The following is a 23,326-nucleotide window of genomic DNA, read 5'->3' as shown; positions in this document are numbered from 1 at the left end:
AGTGGCCTTGTAGGACCAGGAAGGAGTGCTGGATCCTCTCCTCCTGGAAGGCAGGTGTCTGGGAGAGGGATCAGCTGGCATGGTAGTTTTTAAATGTCTTTACTTCACATCCTTTCTGAAGTAAGAAAATGGAACACAGTAGCTCCAAATTTAAACCAATACAAGTGATGTTGCTCAGGCTGAAAACATTTTCCTCTCAGATGAGGTAACAGGTCTTGAGAAGTTAAAGGACTTGCTTATATATAAAAATAGCCATTTAAAAATACTTCACAAAATTTACTTTTAAGGTGTGTTAATAATTATTACTTACTAGATATGACTTGAATTTGCTTCATACAGAATGGGCAACTCACCAAATCCCCAATGAATAATTGTTTTCACAAATAAAGACAACACAGACCTCTCTTTTTTATGATTATATATACTTAAACTGTGGTCAGCTTTTCAGAAAACATGTAATGCCAGATTCATGAGGCTGGTACACTTCTGGGCTAAAATCCAGGTTTCTGTTAAGTTACTTTTTCATTTTAAAATCTTGGGCTGCATTTCAATCTACCTTAAAGTTCAAGGCAACAGGGAGTTTTATGGGTTTATTCTAATAAGTAAAAATATAATTTCCTGTTTCTAAGAAAACATCAGAAGAATGAATAGACGAATTAAGGGAAAATAAATTAGAAACAATATACAAATTAGATTCCCCCCAGTTAGCAGCCAAATTTAAAGACCAAGAGGATGATGCAAGGTGCGGCATGGAAGTCTTTGAAAGAGTTAGGACAGTTAATAAGCCCTAAATCCTTCCCACGATTGCTCTTGCTTTCCTTGGCCTTCGATTGTTTTCTCCATCACTTCTTTCCAAGCCCTAATTTACACATTTCAATTTTAATATCTCTGACACACACACACACACTACTATCAGCACATGGTTTTCTAACTACTCCATTTCACCATTCTTCTTTCCTTTCTTTCCTTCCTGTATTCTTGCTTACTGTTCTCATCTCATCGTCTTCCTTCACTTCTTTTTGTTAGCTATTTTCTCCACCTGCAGTGTCACTTTTCTGTCATTCTTTATCTTTGTTTTTATCACTCTCTCCATATTAGTTTAAGTCTGTTTATTAAGTACCTCCTAAGTACAAGATGCAAAACAAAGTATGTAGAATTATAAATGATCTCTCCATATATTACCAAGGTTCTTTTGATCCTTTGCTCCTCGTTCTTTTTCTACTCCCTTTTTTGTGTCTTCTTTATTCAACTTTGTCCTAATGAAATATCAGTAGATTTCAGGTTTTCCTCTGGTGATTGGAAAAAGACTTTCTTGACTCATGGGAATCAAAACTAGATATTGCATCCTTTAGTTTAAATTAAAATAGGATATCAACATTGTATATGTTTGGCAATGCCCTGGCTAGCTTTGGCAAGGTATAATCGATGAGAAGATATGGGAGGCACACTCTTTACCATGTTCTGTCTGTGCTAAGTACATGTTTTAATTTGTGACTTCTGGGCAAATCTGGGTATGGCATTATTTTTGCTTCTGGTTACTGTGTGTTTTCCTCTTCTGAGACTTGCCAAAATACTTTCTCTAGCACCAAATTACAATTTTCTGTCCTTGAATCATAAAAGCACATCTTCCAAGTATCTAAAGACCTGAATTTCCCACTCCTATCCCCAGAGAAGTTCCCACTGGGGACTCCAGGTTTCGGACACATAGGGTCAGAACTGAGATGGGTTGAAATCTCAGGATGTCTCTGGTAAGTCTCTCTGCCTCCTCACTTTTGCATCTATATTCAAAGATAGTGTCTTTCTGGTGGACTTATTTCTTTCATCCATACATACAGTCACCCATTATTCATTCAGCAAATGTATATTTAACACAAGGCCAAGGGATTTGTTAAGACTGGGATACAGTGGTTAATAAGTCAGGCTCAGGCCTTACTTTTATAGAGCTTATTTCCCAGGGGAGAAGACAGACTTGAACAAGGGCTCATCCCTAAAGAAGCCTTTGATAAGGTAAAGGCCCTAAAGTTCTCAGGCCCTAAACATGATGCTGATATGTGAGCAAGAACTCACTATGTACCAGGCACCATGCTGAGTAATTGCACACATTATCTTGTTAAACCCTTACAGCTCTTGAAGGAAGAGATTATTGTTAGCTCAATTTATGGATAAAGAGACCCAGGTAAATTGATTAACTTTCCCAGTGTCATATGGCTGTTAAGTGGAGAAGCCAGACTATGAACCCTGGACTTCTGGCAAAGCCTATTTTACAAAGGACACAAAAGGACACAAAACCCCAGGTTGTAAACCAAAGTAGAAAGACAGCATTGGAGGGTTAGGGAAAATTAGCACAAGAGCTTAGCTCTTGATTAGGGAAATAAATGAAATTTTAAAATATTCTAAACCCAAAGGTACGAAATTAATTACCAGAGATCAAGTCCATCCAGCACAAGGATGAGGTCATCATATTTTTAAAACGTAGCAATGTTCTCAGTGATTTTGAATGTCAGGATCCCTGATAAGAGTTTATAGAAGACTTGGCCAAATGTAGAGACCAGTGCACACAAGAGAGTTGGGTTTTGGCAGGTAAATCCATTTATTTGAAAAGTTCTCATGAAAATATTTTTATACATTTCAAACATCAGAAAAAATGATTTATGGTCTCTTGAATTTTGTAAGAAAAGATACATAACTTGATCTAATATTATAGATCAAATATAATATAAAAAGAGATTGGGCCTTGATTTTCATGTTAAAGTCTTATGGGAATTGAAAAGCTTTTATAAACAAGTAACTGAAATACTTGTCAATTATTATTATGTAAACTGGACATTCTTATTCCTTGGGGAAAACCCCGGATGTAAATTGTCGAAATGTGTTTAAGAATCTTTTGCATATTGTTACTGACTGAACTGAGATCTGTTTTCTGCAACTCCTGACAAGTTTACATATTTTGTATGACTGTTAATGCTGAATTCTGAACCGAGGAAAGGTTGACTCTTTATTCAGGAATCCTTGTATATTTTGTGGTTCTTTCTAAAGAATAGCATGTGTGTAATTAAAACATGGAAAAATAAGCATCTCTTTTTGGTTAAAAAAAATAGCTTGGTTAGCATCTTGTGAGTTTTTTTGCTTACCAGATAGCTTTCCTATTCACCTGGACTGGAGCACAACCCAACAGCACAGCTGACTCATGAGGCATAGATTCCATGTAAAGGCGTGAAGAATAATTTCCCTCTTTACTGCTGGTGCCGACATGCCATTATGGTGGTAATGATGGATGGGTGAGCCTTGACAGTTGAAGAGTAAAGAAGCTTTAGAAAATAGGAAGGTGACATACTTCTTTCTAAGAAAATAAGTATTTGTCACAATCATCAGGGCAAACACTAGTGGGCAATCTCTAAAACGCTAAAAAAACTCTTGGCTAGAGAAATTCTTGAACAGCAATATTGATGTTTTATTTGCTGGATGATTTGTCTTATGGAAGAGTTGCAGTACAGATAATCAAGAACTATTTCTATTAATAATGTATAGGAAGAGATGAAGCCAGCTTCTCTGGAAAATCATAGACTATTGGGCACTGAGTTCCATTTTTATGATAAACTACAGACTTTCACTTTGAGGTAAATACTTAGCTCGAGAAGTCTGTCAAGTTGGTAATTAACCAACGATCCAGCTGACTAAATCTAGAATGCTTAAGAAGGTCCAGAATGAGATCCTGTAGATTTTTTTCAGTATGGGTCTAGAGCATTTCTGTGTGATTGTCAAATGGATAAATTGCAATCTGCTTTCATGTCTTCTCTTCAGAGGGGCAAACAGATATGACCAGCTAGTTTGATTGTATTTACACTTCATTATTGACGTGATTTTCTTCCAGCTTTATTATTGCCCATTAAAGATGACTTTGTGCTCCAAACATGTATTCAGTAAATGACTATGTGAGAAATGATGCGATTTTTTCCTTAACTGTTTCCTCATCGATTGTCAAACTGATCATTTACTGCCTCTTTCTCTTCTCTGATTCAACTAGCAAAAAGAAGAAGGGTCCTAAGAGAGCTTTCCCCTCATCCTTGTTATGCTTCATGGCTAGGCTCTCATTTTGGTTGCTTCTAATGCACTTTAATGCTCTCACCTTTTTTCAGTACTCTCAGATCTACTCGACTCCCTTTAGATTTAGGCCAAACTAAGCCCCGGCTGTTGTGCCTGGGCTATTTGATTTTCTAGTCCTTTATTACTATCATGGAAATATACCCACTTTTTCTGTTTTTCTTAGATCTGCTCTAATATCCATCTCATCTCTTAACCTCTCTCGAAATCATCTGAAATTTTTTCTATCCATCTCTTCGACAAAGATCCTATTATGTAGATAGTATAATAGGTTATAGGAATACAGAGGTGAATACAGTGCTCCCTTCAAAGGAATCTGTTCATCCCTTTTCGAAAGTGGTACAAAAGAAATTGGGAAGTGTGTGTTTTATGCTAATAGAGCTTAAAAAGGGGAAGCCGAGCACTTCTGATGATAAAAACAAATGTAGTTTGGCTTTGTTCCCACCATTTTGTTTTGACTGGGGCCTGTATTTAGAACTTACATCACCGAGACCACACTCTTTGAGAAAGGCTGAATTGGGGCTTAGCCTCCAAGAACCCAGGCAGTACCCCTTGGCCTTACTCCCTGTTCCTGTCTAGAACCACACCCTTGGTGTGAGGTCAGGGAGGGGCAAGCCAACATGTTTAAGGCTGTATTTGCCTCCATGTCAGTCTTTGCTTATGACAATAGAAATGATCAAATGAACCTGTTTTTTATATTCCTTTTGGCAGGGACTGCATATCATGTTGTTTTTGCCCAAAGCACATTTTTTTTTTTTAAGTGGCTAGGTTTGAAGCCTGAGAAATTGAGTCTTGGGTCAAGAATCTGGAATAAACTTCAAGCGTTGCTGTCAACCTGTTATTTTATGTAGATTTTGCTGGTGATAGCCAATTCAAGATTTTACAATTCAGAATGAAAATTATTGGTCAAGAAAAAAAGATACTGAATTCAGGGATTTAGAAAATGTCTCCTCATCTACAACATAGTTGTCCAAACAACTTGAGCCAGTTTAAATCAGTTTTAATTTACTTTTTACTATCAGTGATAGGCTATCACGGAGCTAACCAGAATTCAGCCCCTTCCCTTGGCAAGGTTGTTTGTCTTATCCAAATCCTCCTGCCAGCAGTCTCTATTTAGCAGTGGGAAATAGGGATGTCTGGGAAACTGCCAGTGAGTGCCTAAGTGGGGAGGCTTCAGGCAGTACTTTTGTTATATTGGGGAAAGACAGGTGGAGGTTGGAAAAGCAGCCCTGAGGACATAAGTCCCTCATTCCTTTCACAGTTTTATTTGCTTTTGCTTTTTTAATGCAAGGTCTGTTAGTGAAATGGTTGGTCAGGAGTGACGTGGCCATGTGGCAACTGGTTGCTGTTACCTCTGTTTAGTAGTTTTAAAGGGAGCATCCTAGGGAGAAAGGGGACCCCCCTAAGAAGCCTCTTTTAAGTTCAGAAGGCAGCTTGAAGAGTGGATGGAGTCAGTGTAATATAGAGGATCTCTAGGCTGACGTGGTCCCCTTTCTCTTTAATCAGCGCTAAAGATACAGTCCCCTTTTTATTTTCCAAATGCTATGTTTTATGTTCCAACTTGCTCTTTTGAATTCTGATTAAATGTAAATGTATTTTTGTTTGTTTGTTTTTGAGAGAGAGAACTTTGTAGGTACTAATCTCACCCCTGACTCTGGCTCAAACCCTGATTGGATCTACCCACAGCTTCCTTTTTCATATCTCCCCTCTCTTTTTTCCTTCCTCCCTCTGTCCCTCTCTCCCTCCATTCTGTTCTTTCACGTCTTTGTACTCATTATATATAAAAAATTTAACCTTACCTGTTTGCAGTGGATATGTATATTAATCTAATAGTTATGTTTTGTGGCAGGGTCCGTGAAAGATTATTTGTGGTTTCTTTTTCTATCTAGAGAACCCTCATCCTGAATGTATATTTTCATATTGAAATAATGGAACGAATTGATTCGTTGATTTGGAGTGGGCATGCCCTTGGTTTGGAATTAAAGAAACTAGAAACATCTTCTAGCCAGTTAGGGGCAAGTTATATGGTGCCTTTGAGAGTCCCCAGAACTCTGAATCTAATCAAGATAAGAAGCATAGAACAGCTGAAAGGAATCACACGCATTCTCAGACTCATGTGGCAAACAAGGCCCAGGTTTCTTTCTGGTGGAATACAGTAGGACCTCAGAAATCCTGATTGTGAGGTCAGAAAGATGGTTAACTTTTGTTGTGAGACTAGAAGTATGCTATTTTAAACTGTGTAAAAGTTCACATTTAGCTAAAAGAGATGGAATAAGAGAAACTTTTAGGACAGTCACTGCTTTATCTTTTCAAAAATTATTTGTTACAAACCGGAAGTAAAGATATGCTTTTTTTTTCTTTTTTAAGGAAAAAATATCCCATGGCTGTTAAGGTTTCTGTTATTATTTGTTTTTTCTATTTTTATTTGGACAGTACAGAAAACTGTGTTTCAAAATAGTTGATGGCTTTCCATTTTTCTACCTCCCAGCTTATTTTTTTCTAGCACAATTCTTTATATGTAACCCCAGGCTGTCTAAAGGAGAGGGAAACAGTGGTAAAACAGTGCTGTGGGCTTCTGAAGAGAATTTTGGGTGAGTCATAAAGAGGTTTGTTTTGTTTTTTTATTTTCCAGGGATTGTTGTCTGTGAGGTGCCTAACAACAAGTTAGATAAATTCATGGGAATCCTTTCTTGGAAAGACAGCAAGCATTCCCTCAACAATGAGAAGATAATCCTGAGAGGCTGCATCCTGAGAAATACCAGCTGGTGTTTTGGAATGGTTATTTTTGCAGGTACAGCATGTGACCCAAGGCCAGCTCTGTGGGAACCTTTCCTGCAACGTACACCAGCACAGTCTATGATTCTCTGTGTTCTGATGAGCGCAGTGCTTTCATTCCATGCAAAGTCGTGCTCTGGAGTTGACTTAAGATTGTAGGATGCCAGGAGAAAACACTATTGCTCTGAAAATAGTCCAGGTGGCCCCTGCTGTATGAGGAACTACTGACATCTTATTCTTAAGGATGCTGGAGCTTTAACTAGACAGTGGGTGCTAGATACCTACTGCTTAATTTTTCTTCATTAACCCCATCTTAATCACCTTTGTCATTTTATGTATGAATCTGCCTTTAAAGTGGGTAAGAGTATGAAAGAAAGCTCCTGGCTGTGCAGTTAATTTTGTAGTTTGCAAAGGTCAAGCAGACCATTTGGAAAAGGCTTCTTGATCCTGTAATCATTTCTGTTTATACTCCATAGCTTTTTCCACTGTTTGTAAATAGGAGAGTGGGTTCTGGAAAGACTGTGCATGATGGGGGTGGGTGGGGTGGGAGGAGGTGCCTCTTACTCTTCTTGCCCACCAAATTTCTTTTCTCTGCTTTATTTCTGTAGGCCCGAGGTGGCCCTCTCTTGCTAAGAAAGCTTACAGTAGCATCATTTCATAAAGCCACTCAAATTGTACTCATGGCTTCAATTGCCAGCCCTTGATTTTAAAAGTCCTGTTTATTGTGACACCAAATTAAGATGTGTTTTGGGCCTCTTGACTATGTGCAATCAAAATTGGAATGTTTTTCTTAACTGACCTTCCTCAACAACAACAAAGTGTTCATTAAAGTCTTAAAAGTGTTCCAAACCTAGAAACGTTCTCCCAATTCCTCTAAATACTGTCAGCTGTTGGTGTTAGCAGTGCTCTTGCCGCTTGGGGCATTGCCATTGTAAAGACTTGGGAAATCCCTAGAAATGAGCCAGTATATGCGCTTTTACATTTTAGTTGGAGAAATAAACATATGATCATATATTTCATTACACAGAGAAAAAGAGAGCTAGGCTTGACCATGAACATTCCTTTATCTTCCTACTTAATGATAGGGAAATTTCATGGTCTTCTGATGGGAAATACCCTCCTGATTTGCTTCCTGTCATCATAGAGATGGAGGTGCTTCATCCTATGGATGGGATATAGTCCCAAACTTTGCATTTCCGTGACCTTGTTTGGAATGGCTAATTCAGGACTCTAGTTCAGCTACAACGTTTCATGCTAGGGCAGTTGTTGTGAACCGCTGAGAGGCCAAGTTCTTCTTTGTAAGGTTTCTTTGTGGGAAAATGTTCTGAAAAACAAGGAAGTTGGTTGGTAAGTTGAATAGGTCTCCCTCCAAGGAAGTGTAACAGAAAGTTCACAGAATTTGGATTGGGCAGACCTGAGTTTGGATTTATTATTATTTTTTATTTATTGTTATTATTATTTTACCAGCTGTAGGACTGTAAGCTTTGGTTACTTAAACTTCGGAAGCTTTACTTTTTTTCTGCTGTAACATGGGGATAATAATGAGTACATTAGGGTCATTTTAAAGGCTCAGTGAGATAATGCATACGGAAAAGGATGCTTGACAAATGCTATTTTCCTTCCTTTTCTGCTTCCCTTCTTTCAAATTTAATTCAGAGCACCCAGCCTGCTCTCTAGGCTGAGAGTTGGAAAAACTTACTGCTCTCTGGACCTTGGCAGCAGGCAGCAGGGAGAGAGGAACACCTTCTTCTTTTGTGATTTGGCCACAGTGTTCACTTGCAGGAGACCTTATCAACTGGATGTTTGTAAAGCAGAGCATGCCTGCATTGACTTTAGTCTGGTCACAAATGTTAGCAGAAAGCTTAATTAGAATGCTGGCAAACAGAAGAATTAGTGGTTGGCTTCGTCCGTGTCGGAGATGAACAAATGGATGTCACAAAACCTCTAAGTCTTAAGACATTTAGTTGGGGAACTAGTTCCAGGTGAACACCTAGGTCTAATGAAAAATATCTGCTGGGCGCGGTGGCTCACGCCTGTAATCCCAGCACTTTGGGAGGCTGAGGCGGGTGGATCACGAGGTCAGGAGATTGAGACCATCCTGGCTAACATGGTGAAACCCCATCTCTACTAAAAATACAAAAAATTAGCCAGGCGTGTTGGCAGGCGCCTGTAGTCCCAGCTACTCGGGAGGCTGAGGTAGGAGAATGGCATGAACCTGGGAGGTGGAGCTTGTAGTGAGCTGCGATTGCACCACTGCACTCCAGCCTGGGTGACAGAACGAGACTCCATCTCAAAAAAAAAAAAAATCCAAAATGAATTATTAAGTATTCTTTCTGTGTTATTACTCTAGTTATACCTACCACTAGGAATTGTGCAATGAATATAGATGACACAGATATGATTTGCTTTACAAACCTATAATTTATGAAGTTCTAATATATATTAACAGCTAGGCTACACCTCCCTGGTAATGCCTTCTTTATGCTCAAGAGAGGAGAAAATCTTGTTTCTGAGGGCAGGAATTATATTCATTTAAACAGTCTCTAGGAGTCTGTACCATCTTGAGTGCACACTGCATTTTTGTCCTAGATGTCTTCTGTTTGCTCTCCAGATTTCCTCTCACCTTTTTCTACCATTCTTTCTGCCCTAGGAGGCTTATTTGTATGGTTTATACTAATAGGTTACCTTGTACTTCTGCTTCTGGTTGGGCTTTGTCTCGGGGATCCCTAGGAAGAGATCAAAAGGAAGAAGGAGATTACGATCAAGGTATTTACTCCTCCAGGCTGCATTCTTGTGTGCTAACTTCAGGCTGGCCAGATCTATCAACAGAAGGCCACTCTTACTCTAAGGGCTGCAAATTCCTGTCACCTCTTTCCCTTAGGGTCCAGTAGCCATTCCTTCCCTTCATCCCTTCTGGCTCAGGTGGAGAAACAGCTTGCTTGCTACATGCCCTTGGTTAATGCACTAACCTTTTGTTTCCCCTATAATCCCACCTATGCTTTTTGTAAAGAGTTCTTTTATAAATAAAACTTCCTCCAATTCTCTTTGTTCAATGTGTCATCTATTTCCTTTTAGGATCCTGAATGAGACACAGTCTTAAATATTGGTTGACTATTTCATATAGTTTTAGAAAATAGTAAAGACCAAGAACTTTAGAATTACTTATGTCGAGGTTCAAATTCTCGCTCTGACACTTACTAGGTGAGAAATCTCAGGCAAGTTCAATTATTTAAACTCAGTTTCATTATTAGTGAACTGAGGATAATAGTACCTAATTTGTTAGTTTGTTGTAAGCATTAGCTGAGATTATAGGTGAAATGTAGATGTTCAAAAAATTAATTTGCTTAAAATACTTACAAATTATTTATTGAATGTCTACTATATGCTGGGCATTATGCTACTTACTCATTGGGGATTAAAAATGTGAACAAAAACAAATGCAGTACCTTCACTCATATGATTTTCAGTATGGTAGGAGAGAGAAAGAGGCATTAATCTCAAGCCAAAATCATATCAATGGCCAAGGCCCTGTGGCAGGAGTAAGGAAAGTGAGGTCAAAAAAGAAGGCCAGTATGGGGTATGGAGAGCACAGAGGATAGGGATGGATATGGGACTGGAGACATGGATAGGGGCTAGACCATGCTGGTAGACCTTGTGGTCAGTATCCAGAAGTTTGGTCTTTATCCTAAGAGCTTAGGGACGCCATTGTAAGTTTTCAAACAGGTGGGGTGTATATGTGTTAATTGTGAAAAGCTTAATCTTGCCAACACTGTTTGTAATGTTTGTAAATAGACAGCAGGTCCTGGGGTTGGGAAGGAGGAAAAATATTGGTTAGTTTTGGGGGCAGAGTGGATACAGGGAGACAAAGTTTCTAGGTTTTCACAGTTGAGAGGTGATGGTCCCTCAGATTAGGAAAGGAGAGGGAAGTAGATAAATTCAGAAGGCTTTTAGAAAGTTTAGAAAGTTGAATTGACAAGCTTTGATGACCAGGCTTGAAGGTGAGGATGATAAAGTTATCAACTATGACTGAGGTTTCTTCCAACCTTCGCAACTGGATGGATGGTGATGATGCTCACTGAGATAAGAAGCTTGGAGGAAGATTGTAAGCCAGATTGGACAAGGGCCACTTGAGAGGCCTTAGAAGAATCCAGGTGGAAATATACAGGCAACAAAATACGTAGGTTTAAATATATAGATTTAAAGCTCAGAGGAACAGCATGAGCTGGGGATACACATCTTGTCTATATTATTAAAACTGTTGGTCTCAAAGCTACGGTCTTAGGTGAGATTGCTCAGGGAAGGTAGATTGAGTAAGAAGATAAGGTGACCTATGCCTGAGTCTTAAGGATTCTCAGTCTTTAGTAGCTGGGTAAAGGGAAGGGAGAGTAAGTATCATGGAAGACAGGAAGGGAGCTACCAAAGAGGTAGGAAGGAAAGCAGGAGAATATTATAACACAGAAGCTAAAGGAAGAGTATGTTTCAAAAGGATGGAATAGTCAACAGTGTCAAAGGTTGCTGAATAGTCAAGAAGTTATGGAGGATATTGATGATAACACCAGATCTGTTTTGGCGTTGTGATTGGCCCAGAGACTGGGTTGAGTAACGAGTGGGAGATAAGAAAACGGAGGCTGTTGAGTGTAGAAAATTCTTTCAGGATGTGCATATAAACATTTGTGGTTATATTTACATAAATGCTTAATAATCCATAAAAAGGATTCCTTATTAGTCTGTGTGCATTTGTGTGCCTAATGGAATGTACATTTTCAGCACCTAACTGGTCTTTTCATATTTCAGTTTTTAGCAACCACAAACTTTATGTGTGTATGTGTGTGTGTGTTTTTTTTAAGCCTACAGCACCAAATATCCCCAGTCTCCCATCTAAGTACTAACCAGGCCTGACCTGCTTAGCTTAGCTTCTGAGATCAGATGAGATCAAGTATGTTCAGGGTGCTATGGCTACAGACTATTTGGCCTTTGTGATCTTTACCATAAAAGAAATATTTCCCACCCTCAATGTTCATATGATTTTAATAAATGATTCTGAGAAAATGTGGGTGGTCTATACACAGCAGTAGCTAGGAATAGGATACTGCAGTACAATTTCCAACTTAAGACAATGAATTGTTATGAAACCTCAATTATTGCTTCTTTTTTTCTTTTACATAAAGAAAAGTCTTTTAAGGATGTGCCTGTCCTTCCCTGACTTCTGGAGTGGTATATAATTTTGGGTGTGCCTCCCTTTTCTCCTTTCTTTAATTTCCCCCTTTCTCCTATATTAAATGGCTCTATGGATTGAAAATCATGAGGAGAATATGTGAAGAGGAAACACTGGAGAAATTAGCTTTAATTAAAACTTAATTGCTTCTATTTAGCATTTTCTCTGTCCACAAGGAATTTCTTTAACAATATTTTTCAATATTCTTATTTGTTTATCATCTAATAACCCACTTCTAAAGCAGTTGATTATATTCTTAGAATTCCTGGAACAAGGCACTTATCATGGGATAATGTAATTACCTGAAATAAATCTAACACAACATTTAAGACAGTTCTTGTCTTTACAAAAATTACATATTACATACGTGCAGTATACAATACACAATAAAGGTTTAAATTACTTGCTGATGTATTTTGGGGGGCTATTCTAGTTTCTCCTTCAAAGGGACCTCAAATCTTTTTGGGAAACAGATCTAGAATTTGATTTATTTTTCCATTTTTTACCTTAGTGTTCTGAATTGTGTTTGTTGCTGCATTATTTTTAATATTTCCAAATTATTCCTCACTTTTGTTGACTTTGTTATCTTTAACTATGTCAAACTAGAAGCATATTCATGTATAGACATTGAAAAAATAGCTTCACTTAAACCTTTCAACTACAAGTTCTGACTGTATTTATCCTAGTCTAAGAAGATCACATCTCTTGCAGCTTCCAGGATTGTTGTTAACCTAATTGTTGAGAATCATGTACAACTTAATGGCCCTTGCTCTTAATAAAAGTTAAATTATTGTGAAAAATATATATTTTTTTCTTTCAGAGACATTTGATATGAGCATTAATAAGAATACATAATCATATCATTTCAAAGTTATTTACTTTTTTTTGTTTTTGCAGGTCCTGACACTAAACTAATGCAGAATAGTGGTAAGACAAAGTTTAAAAGGACAAGCATTGATAGATTGATGAATACTCTAGTACTATGGGTAAGTTACAAAACTAGGCAATATCACTAGTCATTGTTATCTTAGTACATTTACTGAATCTTGCTGGGAATTCTTTAAGAAGCCTACATTCTCCTTGTGGAGTTTGTTTTTGGGGATTTTGCATTTGAGGCTCAGTTATACTGCCTTCTATTTTCTAGATTATGCTAATTTCTCAACCAGTGGTAGAATTTATCATGAGAGGTAGGTTAGTGTTTATGGAGGTATTCATGGTCTTACAAATTCCCCATATCCCAGGGATTTGTTTTTGGAAAACCAAACATAGTTTTTAAGGCAGTTTGGTGTTTTTGTTTTCTTACTTTTTTTCAGATCCTGTATACATAGCTTATGGTGGGCAGGGCTGGCTTCACGGGTGTGTGATCTGTGTAACCACACAGGGCCCCACACTCAGAGGGCCTTATGTTTGGTTTATTCAACTTCTGTTGCCATCTAGAAATTCTTAATACTTTTAGGACAGAAGGTCCCACGTTTTCATTTTGCACTGAACCCTGCAAATTATGTAGGTGGTTCTGGTTATAAATCCTTTGAGCCCCACCTCACAGTTCTCCTCCCTCACAGAGGCTTCTAACATCCTTAGCTCATGACTATCTTTCTCTTATGAATTTTTTTTTTACTTCTGATTCTTTTGAAATGATATTCTCTACTACTCGTTTACCAAAAACATTCAGATATTCCTTACATTCCATCCTTTTGTCAGTTAATCCTGTGCTACCTCATACTATTGATATACTATCTAGTCTTTGTGTAATACTGCTTTGTCTGCTTATATAGGGGTAAAGTTCGAAGACAGCCACTTTAAAATATAAAGACTGTGACTTCAAACCATGTTTTCCCATGTACCCTATCACAGGCTCACAATCATAAAGAATCTGAGCTCAATATGTATTTGCTTACCTGATATGTAACAATTGGACTCTGAATAAGGAAAGAAGGTAATTAGCAATTGCTGTGCACAAAATATTGGCCAGGCTCTGTGTTTTACTTTCAGTATCACCTGCAGACCTGGGGTTTTCTCCAGCAATACCAGTCACCTTCATACAGAGCCTATGAGGCCAAGAAGACATGCCCATGTCTATGAACATAGACAAGTTACATAGTCTTTCTTGTGCTTCCATTTTACTTTGTTTTTAAACTGTAAAGTGGGGATAATGACTGTTCCCATCTTAGAGAGTCAATGGGCAAATTCAGTGAGAAAATGTATGTAAAATATTTAGCTGAGTTCCTGACGTAATTCATATGATTAATGGTAAGAAGAGGTTTGCATACTTGCTTTTCAAATGACTATTTCTTGGAGTTAGATGCGTAATTAGATCATGTTGATATGACTAATTTTGAGTTCAAGTTAACCTTAACCACACTTCTATCTTATTTCAGATTTTTGGGTTTCTGATATGCTTGGGAATTATTCTTGCAATAGGAAATTCAATCTGGGAGAGTCAAACTGGGGACCAATTCAGAACTTTCCTCTTTTGGAATGAAGGAGAGAAGAGCTCTGTGTTCTCCGGATTCTTAACATTCTGGTCATATATTATTATTCTCAATACAGTTGTACCCATTTCCTTATATGTGAGGTAAGATGAGAGTTTATATTTTAATGAAATAATTTCATCAAAACCTTTGTTTCCAATATTATTTGTTTTAAAGTTTCAGCAGTGCAATAGATGTCTTGCTCTTAACTGCTTATGATCTGCAACATCTGTTACAAATGGGACAGCTTAGCTGTTTAATCTGTTAACTTTTATGTTTTCAAATTACAATAAATGCGGTTAATTTTCTTCTTGATTTGATTTGGTTTCTTAGAAATGTTTTTCTTTGTAAGACATGCACTACAATATAATCTCATGTAACCTGATCAATTAGAATTGGGTTAATTTTGAGTAAGAAAAGGAAGAACATTGGGGAGATCTATAGAGAGGGTGCCTCTTTGCCACTAGACTGGCTCTATAGATACATGGATTCAGGTCCTATTCTACCACTTACTAGCTCCATAACCTTGGGCAAGTAGCTTCATCTTCTAGTGCCTCAGTTCCCTCATTTTAAAAATGAAGAAAATAATAGTTCTACCTCATACGATTGTATGAGGAGTGAATACATGTCTATAAAGCTCTAAGAATTCCTGACACATTATAAAAGCTTAATGAATATTAGCTTTTCCTATTATTAGTAACTATAAGTATGTACATAAAGGAGTTAAAATATAGTAGGTGGTGCTAGTCCATTGTAAGATAAGAAGTATGATTTATAACTTCTACTACAATTTGATCTGTCAGGATTAGATTCGGTCCCATAAATTAGAGCTAAGGTGGTCTCTCTTTTTGCCTCTCTGTCTATGCACACAAACAGAACACATACACACACACACACACACACACCCCTCTTTATTTATATACATATGTATGCATGTGTGTGTGTGTGTGTGTGTGTGTGTGTGTGTGTGTGTGTGTGTGTATTTGATAAAGCTTAGAAATTGGCCCTAGAATCTGTACCTGGGACATTTTTGATCCTAATCCTAACAAGGCTGAGCCAGACTGTCCCCAAAACATTGGAGCTAAGATGGGACTTGGTTGGTTGACAGTTCTCATCATCAGTACTTTAACAGTACACAAAATCATCAGCTCCAAATCCCCACTTATTTTTATGAACCTCTTTTTATCTCTCTTCAAAAACCTAGCTATGATGAAGCAAGGGAAGTTTAATGCACAAAATCCACCCTTGTTTTGGGTAGTGGTCAGGAAACTGAAATGCCAAGTTGTGGGAAATTCACTTGAAGTAGTGGCATGTGGCCACAATACCACATATTGCTTCGGGCCCTCTGGAGCTGTGGTCAGAGAGGGCTCTATTTAAACTATATCCTACTGGCTCATCTTTGATTCTGAGGACCTCTCATGCTTGTATCCAATTATAAAGTCTGTAGTAAATCCTGCTCTTTGCCGGAAGAGCTACAGTCAGCTTTTATAGCATTCCTTTATGTCCTAAATGAATAATAAATGTGCATAGTGGCTTTCCATCTGCACATGTGCAGTTTCATATGTCCTCACAAAGGAAGTATATTATGTATACATTCTTTCTTTGAAGTACATTGGCATTTTCATTTAATGATTTGAAAGATTGATTTTTTTTTAAGAGACCAAAGGTAGATTCTCAGGTTGGCATTCCTTATACTTCTAATGTGCCATGGTACAATTGACAGAAAACGTATTTATAATTGTCCAAACCCAGTTTCTGGTCTTGGTACTGCCACTAATAGCTGTGTGACCTTGGAGAAAGTGCTTGGCTTCTCTGTGCCTTAGTTTGCTTGTCAAATATGTACTTCCCCATAAAATAAGGGGATTAAAAGAATTAATTTCTGAGTTACTTTATTCTCCAAATAATATCACCTTACCTTTAGATAACATTATAAATATATATTTGATATCAGTATAACACTTTATCACTTAAAAACTACTTTCTTATGCATTCTTTCTTATAATGTTCAAAATTACTGATGTTCTATAATATACCATAAAATATGATACCTTAAAACTCTGAATACTTTTCTCTTTTTTTAGCCTTTTATATTTTACACTTCCACATACTTTATCTCATTTATGTTTCCCAACAATCTTATGAAGTAGGATTTGCTGAGCTGCTTTCAAAATGGGATGAGAGGATTTGCTCAGGATCATGAGCTAAAGAGGGGCAGAAGTCTTCTGAGAGTTGGGACAGTGTTTTCCTATATCCCTAAGCTATGTATGATTTATTACTCAGTGAAGAAATCAAAAGAAAAAAAAGAGTCTAGAGTTCTGTCCTTGTTGTTAGGCATATTGATGAAGACAAATGAGAGCTTTTCTCTTACCAAATAAGTACAGTGATTCTGATCTTAACTCGAGGGAAAAAGCATTCCAAGGAATTTCAGGTTTCTCGGTCCTAAAGATTGAGACATAGGAAAAGAGAACACCCAGGTATTTCTGTCCGGAATGATGAAGACCTTCTGCCAAAGCTTCTATTAGGCTTTAGAATATGTACAAAGAGTAAATTAGTGCCATATATCACTTGAGGATAGAAGTTCAGTATTTGCTTTGAATGGTTAACAATTCCAGGTGAGCAAAGGACACTTACTTTGGTAGGATATTTCTATGTTGTCAGTTTGTTTATCTGTTGTGTTAAGGCGTACCCAGCTACAGTTTTTTTTAAATACATAATCTTAAGAAATGCAGCCATTGTTTTCCCAAGGAATTAGCTTTTGAGTGTTCTTTCCAAAGCAATAGGAATTCATTTCTATGTTGCTTGTTTTGCCTGAGACTGGGTGAAATTATAAGCTCTGTTCTGTGAGTATTCAGGCAGAAAACACTAAGTGGCTGGATTATGTTAACTCTGAATATTTTTCTCCTTTTCTCTGCTATTGTAAAAGAAAGCGCTGAATGTTCCACTGTGAGTCTTCTGAATCCTCTTTTCCCAAACAAAAACGATGCCCATTTTCTCTTCAGACTTTTAAGTTCTAGGAATTTGAATAAATTTTGAATACTTCCATTGGATTATACTATAACACAACAATCAAATTGTTTCATTCACTTTGGTTTAAGATTACAGGGAGCTACTAGACTTTCAGATAAATAAAGAACTTCATGATTTGTGTTGTGACCCTCATAATGCCATTCTTAAGGCCTGTTCTGCACTGGCTTTCCCAAATCCCTGAGTTCTAGTCTTGGCTCTGTGGCTAATTATTGATGTGACCTTGGGTTAGTCACTTTATCTCTCTAAGTCTTAATGTCCCTGTTGGTAAAATTAGAGTCTAAAGAGTTAAAATTCATACACTCAAGACTGATTGACTGCCTCTGATGGGCAAGACACTACCCCAGCCCATTGTAAGTGCTAATGCTTTTTGAGTGAAAAGAGTAAGGAAAATAAAGCTGAATCAGACCAGCTAGCAAGGAATTTACATGGAGGGTGGGGGTGGGGTGGGATGCAGAAGAGTAAACCATATATGAAAATATATAAATAAATAAACAAAGAGTGTCAGTTATGTATCTTAATACCATATCATACTCTACATAGTCACAGTGTAATTTCAGGGAGAAAAAAACTGCTACCATCCAAATAGTTAAAAAATGAATTGGCGCCATACCTCTTTTGGGGAGGGAAACATAGGTATGTCATGTACTTTTAGAACTTGAAGCATATAATTTATAACCAGAAAGGATTTGAGTGTCATCTAGCCCAACTTTCTCACTTTACAGATGAGAAAAACCAAGGATTAATTTCCACTAAGATCAGAAATAAGCTATGGTTCCTGCTATTACCGTAACTATTTTCTACTGTTCTGGATATCCTTGTAAATTACAAAGACGTGAAACTGAAATATCCATGAATAAAATAAGACATGAAACTGAAATAAACCTATTAGAAAGGAAGAACACAGACAATAATATGATTATAAATCTAGTCAATCCATAAGAATAATCTGTAAAACTTTCAGTAGGACAATTTGGTTGTGTCTGATTATGAAAGTAACATTAAAAAAATTAAAAGCTTTCTTTTAGACAACAACAATTTAAAAACTTATCCTATCAGTAAAAAGTTTTATATTCTGCCCTTTGTATACGTGGGTTTTGTATCTATGGACTCTACCAAACATAGATGGAAAATATTTGGATAAAAAAAGGATGGTTGTGTCTGTACTGAACATGTACAGAGTTTTTTCTTGTCATTATTCCCTAAACAATACAGTATAACAACTATTTACATAGCATTTACATTGTATTAGGTATTATAAGTAATCTAGAGATGACTTAAGGTATACAAAAAAGTTATGGATAGGCTATATGCAAATACTCTGCCATTTTATGTAAGGGATCCCCCACAGATTCAAGGGACAACTGTGATGTTCAAGAACAAATCTATAAGACTATGGTATGAATCTATATGAAAAAGCAAAACTAAACTAAACTAAAATTCCTTACTAATTGAGGTACTTTAAAAAATGGAATTCCTAAAAAGATTTGACCTTCTTGAAGTTGTATTTAAGTTTATAAAATATCAGTTCTTTTCAAATAATTAAGAGTTTAACATAGACCTAATAAAAATCTCAAATAAATTTTGTAGAAAAATTAATACATTGATTCAAATGTTTACTTAGATGGATACATTGATTCTATCAGGAAAAATAAATGGGTGATTATAGTTAAGAATTTTTGAAGAGGAAGAGAATAAAGGTGATTTTGTTTCTTGTACGTATTGCCAGTTATTATAAAGCTACAATAATGAAAACAACAGATGTAGTAGCTGTCATATCAATGAATAAAATTGAAATCCATAAATCAGATGCTAGTGAGTAAAATGATTTATTTGTGACACAGAAAGCATCCCAGCTTAATGGAGAAAGGATTGATTGTTCAACAAATGGTGATGTAAAATCTTCTTATTTGGAAAACTTGAAATTTGCTCCTCATATGTATATCAAACTTTCAATTTCAATCAAAAATTTCAATTGGGATAAGGAATTAAATAAGGAAAATATCAATAAAAACAAAGAAAAATGTAGATGTCTGTATATATAATCTTGGCATAGAGAAGACATATCTAAACAAAACTACAAAAACAGAAAGTATAAACTTTTGATAAATTTGATCCTTTAGAAAGAGAAAACTCATATTGAAAAACTGGAAACAAAATGAAAAGACAATCAGCCAGCTGTGGTGGTGCATGCAGTCCCAGCTACTCTAGAGGCAGAGGTGGGAGGATCGCTTGAGCTCAGGAATTTGAGGCCAACCTGGGCAACATAGCAAGACCCTGTCTCTAAAAAAAAAAAAAAGGACAAGTGGCTGGGTGCGGTGGCTCACACCTATAATCCCAGGACTTTGGGAGGCCGAGGTGGGTGGATCACCTGAGGGCAGTAGTTCGAGTACTCAAGTAGTTCGAGTAGTAGTAGTGAAACCCCGTCTCTACTAAAAATACAAAAATTAGCTGGGCATAGTGGAGCATGCCTGTAATCCCAGCTACTCGGGAGGCTGAGGCAGGAGAATTGCTTGAACCAGGGAGGCGGAAGTTGCAGTGAGCCGAGATTGCGCCGTTGCACTCCAGCTTAGGCAACAAGAGCGGAACTCCGTCTCAAAAAAAAAAAAAAAAAAGACAAATGATAAATTGGATAAAATATTTGCATTGTTTTTTGACAGAATTAATAGACTTAATAACTATAGAATTCTTACAAATCATTAATAAATACACTGATATCAGAATAGGAAAAATAAAATAGGCAGATACAATTAGATAGTTCCAAGAAGAAATGTCACTGGCCAATAAAATTTGAAAAAAGTGTTAAACTCATTGATAAGAAATGCAGTGAACAGTGGTGACATACCTTTTGAATTTGCATGTGGTGAAAGATAATTCTTAATAATCTGATGGTAGAAACTTATGTTGCTATGACGTTTTTGGAAATTAGTTTGGCATTATGTATGACGTTGAGCATTGAGAGAGTTCATACACTTTGCCATAAAAATTCTGCTTCTGGAGCTGGAAGTCATAAATGATTACTAGAATGTAATCAGAATTATATTAATCATAATTATTGTAATAATTAATGTAATTATGTAATTAGAATGTGATGCAACACTTTTCATGGTAAATGGGAAGAGTGGTATGACAACACATCCTGTTTTCACTCAGTATTTGTTATGGTTTGGTTCTGCTTCATGGAAATACTGTTTTCTATCTCTTTTGGCAAAGTGAAGCCACATCAAACAATGTATTGGAGAGAATGTTCTCAATAGCACATTTCTTTAGATCAGACATAAGACAAACATCTTCAATAATCATTAGTTTCCCCTACCACAGAGTTCCCTAACTCCCAGGCCACAGACCTGAGCTCTGCCTCCTGTCAGATCAGTGGCAGCAGCATTAGATTCTCAAAGGAGTGCAAACCCTATTGTGAACTGCACAGCAGTTTATATATTGCAGTATTATAATAGAAATAAAGTGCACATTAATTGTAATGTGCTTGAATCATCCTGAAACCATCCCCCTTCCCCTGATCTGTGGAAAAGCGTCCTCCACAAAACTGGTCCCCGGTGACCAAAAGGTTGGGGACCACTGCCGTATCTTATAGGAGGAGACACAAAATAATACACTACACACAAAGTCTCCACCGGGCCTGTTTAATGTAGAAAACCAGGAAACATTCCCTAAAGCTTTATTCTAAGCTGACTTATTGTTTTATGGTGTTGTAGAAAATGACTTGGAAATGTTTATAAACAGACTCTGTTGAGAAGCTTCTGAAGATCCCTGGGACCTAGGGACAGAGCATCCACATTTTCCTCTAACCCCTGGAGACTTTGGCAGACTTCTTATTTTGGCAAAATATTGTATGTTCTGAAATTAATGGAGCATTTCTTTCTTTTTTTCCATTTTAATGGATGATAGTGTGGAAGTAATTCGTCTAGGACACAGTTATTTTATAAACTGGGACCGGAAGATGTATTATTCTCGAAAAGCAATACCTGCAGTGGCTCGAACGACCACGCTCAATGAGGAACTGGGGCAGATTGAGTACATTTTCTCCGACAAAACGGGTACCCTCACTCAAAACATCATGACCTTTAAAAGATGTTCCATTAATGGGAGAATCTATGGTAAGAGAAACAGTTCCTTTCTCTTAACGATATTGTTAACAATTTCTTGAATAACTGACCCCATTAAAAAAAAATTTAAAAATCCAAAACAGTCGCTGGCTTTCTTATTAATATGGGCACCGTCAGCATCTACCATATAGATGCTGATATGCTTGGCAGATGATAAATTCTCACTAAATATGTATTGGATAAATGTTGAGTAATTTAGATGAAACTTTGGATTTATTGCCATTCATGGATAGAGAAAAGGGTTAGATATGATACTCTCTGAAGTTCGTTTCAGTGCTCTGTGTGATTCTTTATTATTATTATTATACTTTAAGTTTTGGGATACATGTGCAGAACGTGCAAGTTTGTTACATAGGTATACATGTACCATGGTGGTTTGCTGTACCCATCAACCCGTCGTCTACATTAGGTATTTCTCCTAATGCCATCCCTCCCCTAGCCTCCCACGTCCCAACACTCCCTGGTGTGTGATGTTCCCCTCCCTGTGTTCATGTGTTCTCATTGTTCAGTTCCCACTTACGAGTGAGAATATGCGGTGTTTGGTTTTCTGTTCCTGTGTTAGTTTGCTGAGAATGATGGTTTCCAGCCTCACCCATGTCTCTGCAAAGGACATGAATTCATCCTTTTTTATGGCTGCAATAGTATTTCATGGTGTATATGTGCCATATTTTCTTTATCCAGTCTATCACTGATGGGCATTTGGGTAGGTTCCAAGTCTTTGGTATTGTGAATAGTGCTGCAGTAAACATATGTGTGCATGTGTCTTTACAGTAGAATGATTTGTAATCCTTTGGGTATATACCCAGTAATGGAATTGCTGGGTCAAATGGTATTTCTGGTTTAGATCCTTGAGGAATTGCCACACTGTCTTCCACAATGGTTGAACTAATTCACATTCCCACCAACAGTGTAAAAGTGTTCCTATTTCTCTACATCCTCTCCAGCATGTGTTTTTTTCCTGACTTTTTAATGATTGCCATTCTAACTGGCCTGAGATGATGTCTCACTGTGGTTTTGATTTGCATTTCTCTAATGACCAGTGATGATGAGCTTTTTTTCATATGTTTGCTGGCCACATAAATGTCTTCTTTTGAGAAGTGTCTGTTCATATCCTTTGCCCACTTTTTGATGGGGTTGTTTGTTTTTATCTTGTAAATTTGTTTAAGTTCTTTGTAGATTCTGGATATTAGTCCTTTGTCAGATGGATAGATTGAAAATATTTTCTCCCATTCTGTAGGTTGCCTGTTCACTCTGATGATAGTTTCTTTTGCTGTGCAGAAGCTCTTTAGTTTAATTAGGTCCCATTTGTCAATTTTGGCTTTCGTTGCCATTGCTTTTGGTGTTTTAGTCATGAAGTCTTTGCCCATGCCTATGTCCTGAATGGCATTGCCTAGGTTTTCTTCTAGGTTTTTATGGTTTTAGGTCTTATGTTTAACTTTTTAGTCCATCTTGAGTTAATTTTTGTATAAGGTGTAAGGAAGGGGTCCAGTTACAGTTTTCTGCATATGGCTAGCCAGTTTTCCCAATACCATTTATTAAACAGGGAATCCTTTCTCCATTGCTTGTTTTTGAAGGTTTGTCAAGGATCAGATGGGTTGTAGGTGTGTGGCGTTATT

At 37.1% G+C, this 23,326-nt stretch overlaps 1 protein-coding gene and 1 pseudogene across 46 annotated transcripts in view; one reads left to right on the top strand and one right to left on the bottom strand.

Moving 5' to 3' along the window:
- The window catches only part of ATP8B4 (ATPase phospholipid transporting 8B4 (putative)), a 323,617-nt gene that overhangs the window by 187,572 nt on the left and 112,719 nt on the right, over positions 1-23,326 (top strand). For 41 of the 46 annotated variants that reach the window (NR_073597.2, NR_073596.2, NR_073598.2 and 38 more), the window contains 4 exons: positions 6,734-6,892; positions 12,989-13,077; positions 14,470-14,666; positions 21,493-21,701. Coding sequence is in view for 42 of the 46 variants with exons in the window: in XM_011522056.4 (XP_011520358.3) it covers positions 6,734-6,892; positions 12,989-13,077; positions 14,470-14,666; positions 21,493-21,701 (654 nt within the window). In the remaining 4 variants the exon portion in view is untranslated. Of the gene's footprint in view, positions 1-6,630; positions 6,693-6,733; positions 6,893-12,988; positions 13,078-14,469; positions 14,667-21,492; positions 21,702-23,326 lie in introns of those variants that run through there. The other 5 variants (XM_047433093.1, XM_047433091.1, XM_047433085.1 and 2 more) reach the window with 2 other exon arrangements.
- On the bottom strand, positions 11,722-11,840 carry RNA5SP394 (RNA, 5S ribosomal pseudogene 394; annotated as a pseudogene).

The sequence above is a fragment of the Homo sapiens genome, chromosome 15, assembly GCF_000001405.40.
Source record: "Homo sapiens chromosome 15, GRCh38.p14 Primary Assembly".
In the NCBI taxonomy this organism is placed as follows: Eukaryota; Metazoa; Chordata; class Mammalia; order Primates; family Hominidae; genus Homo; species Homo sapiens.
The sequence above is the reverse complement of the archived record's forward strand: the minus strand, read 5'-3'. Positions and strand labels throughout refer to the sequence as shown.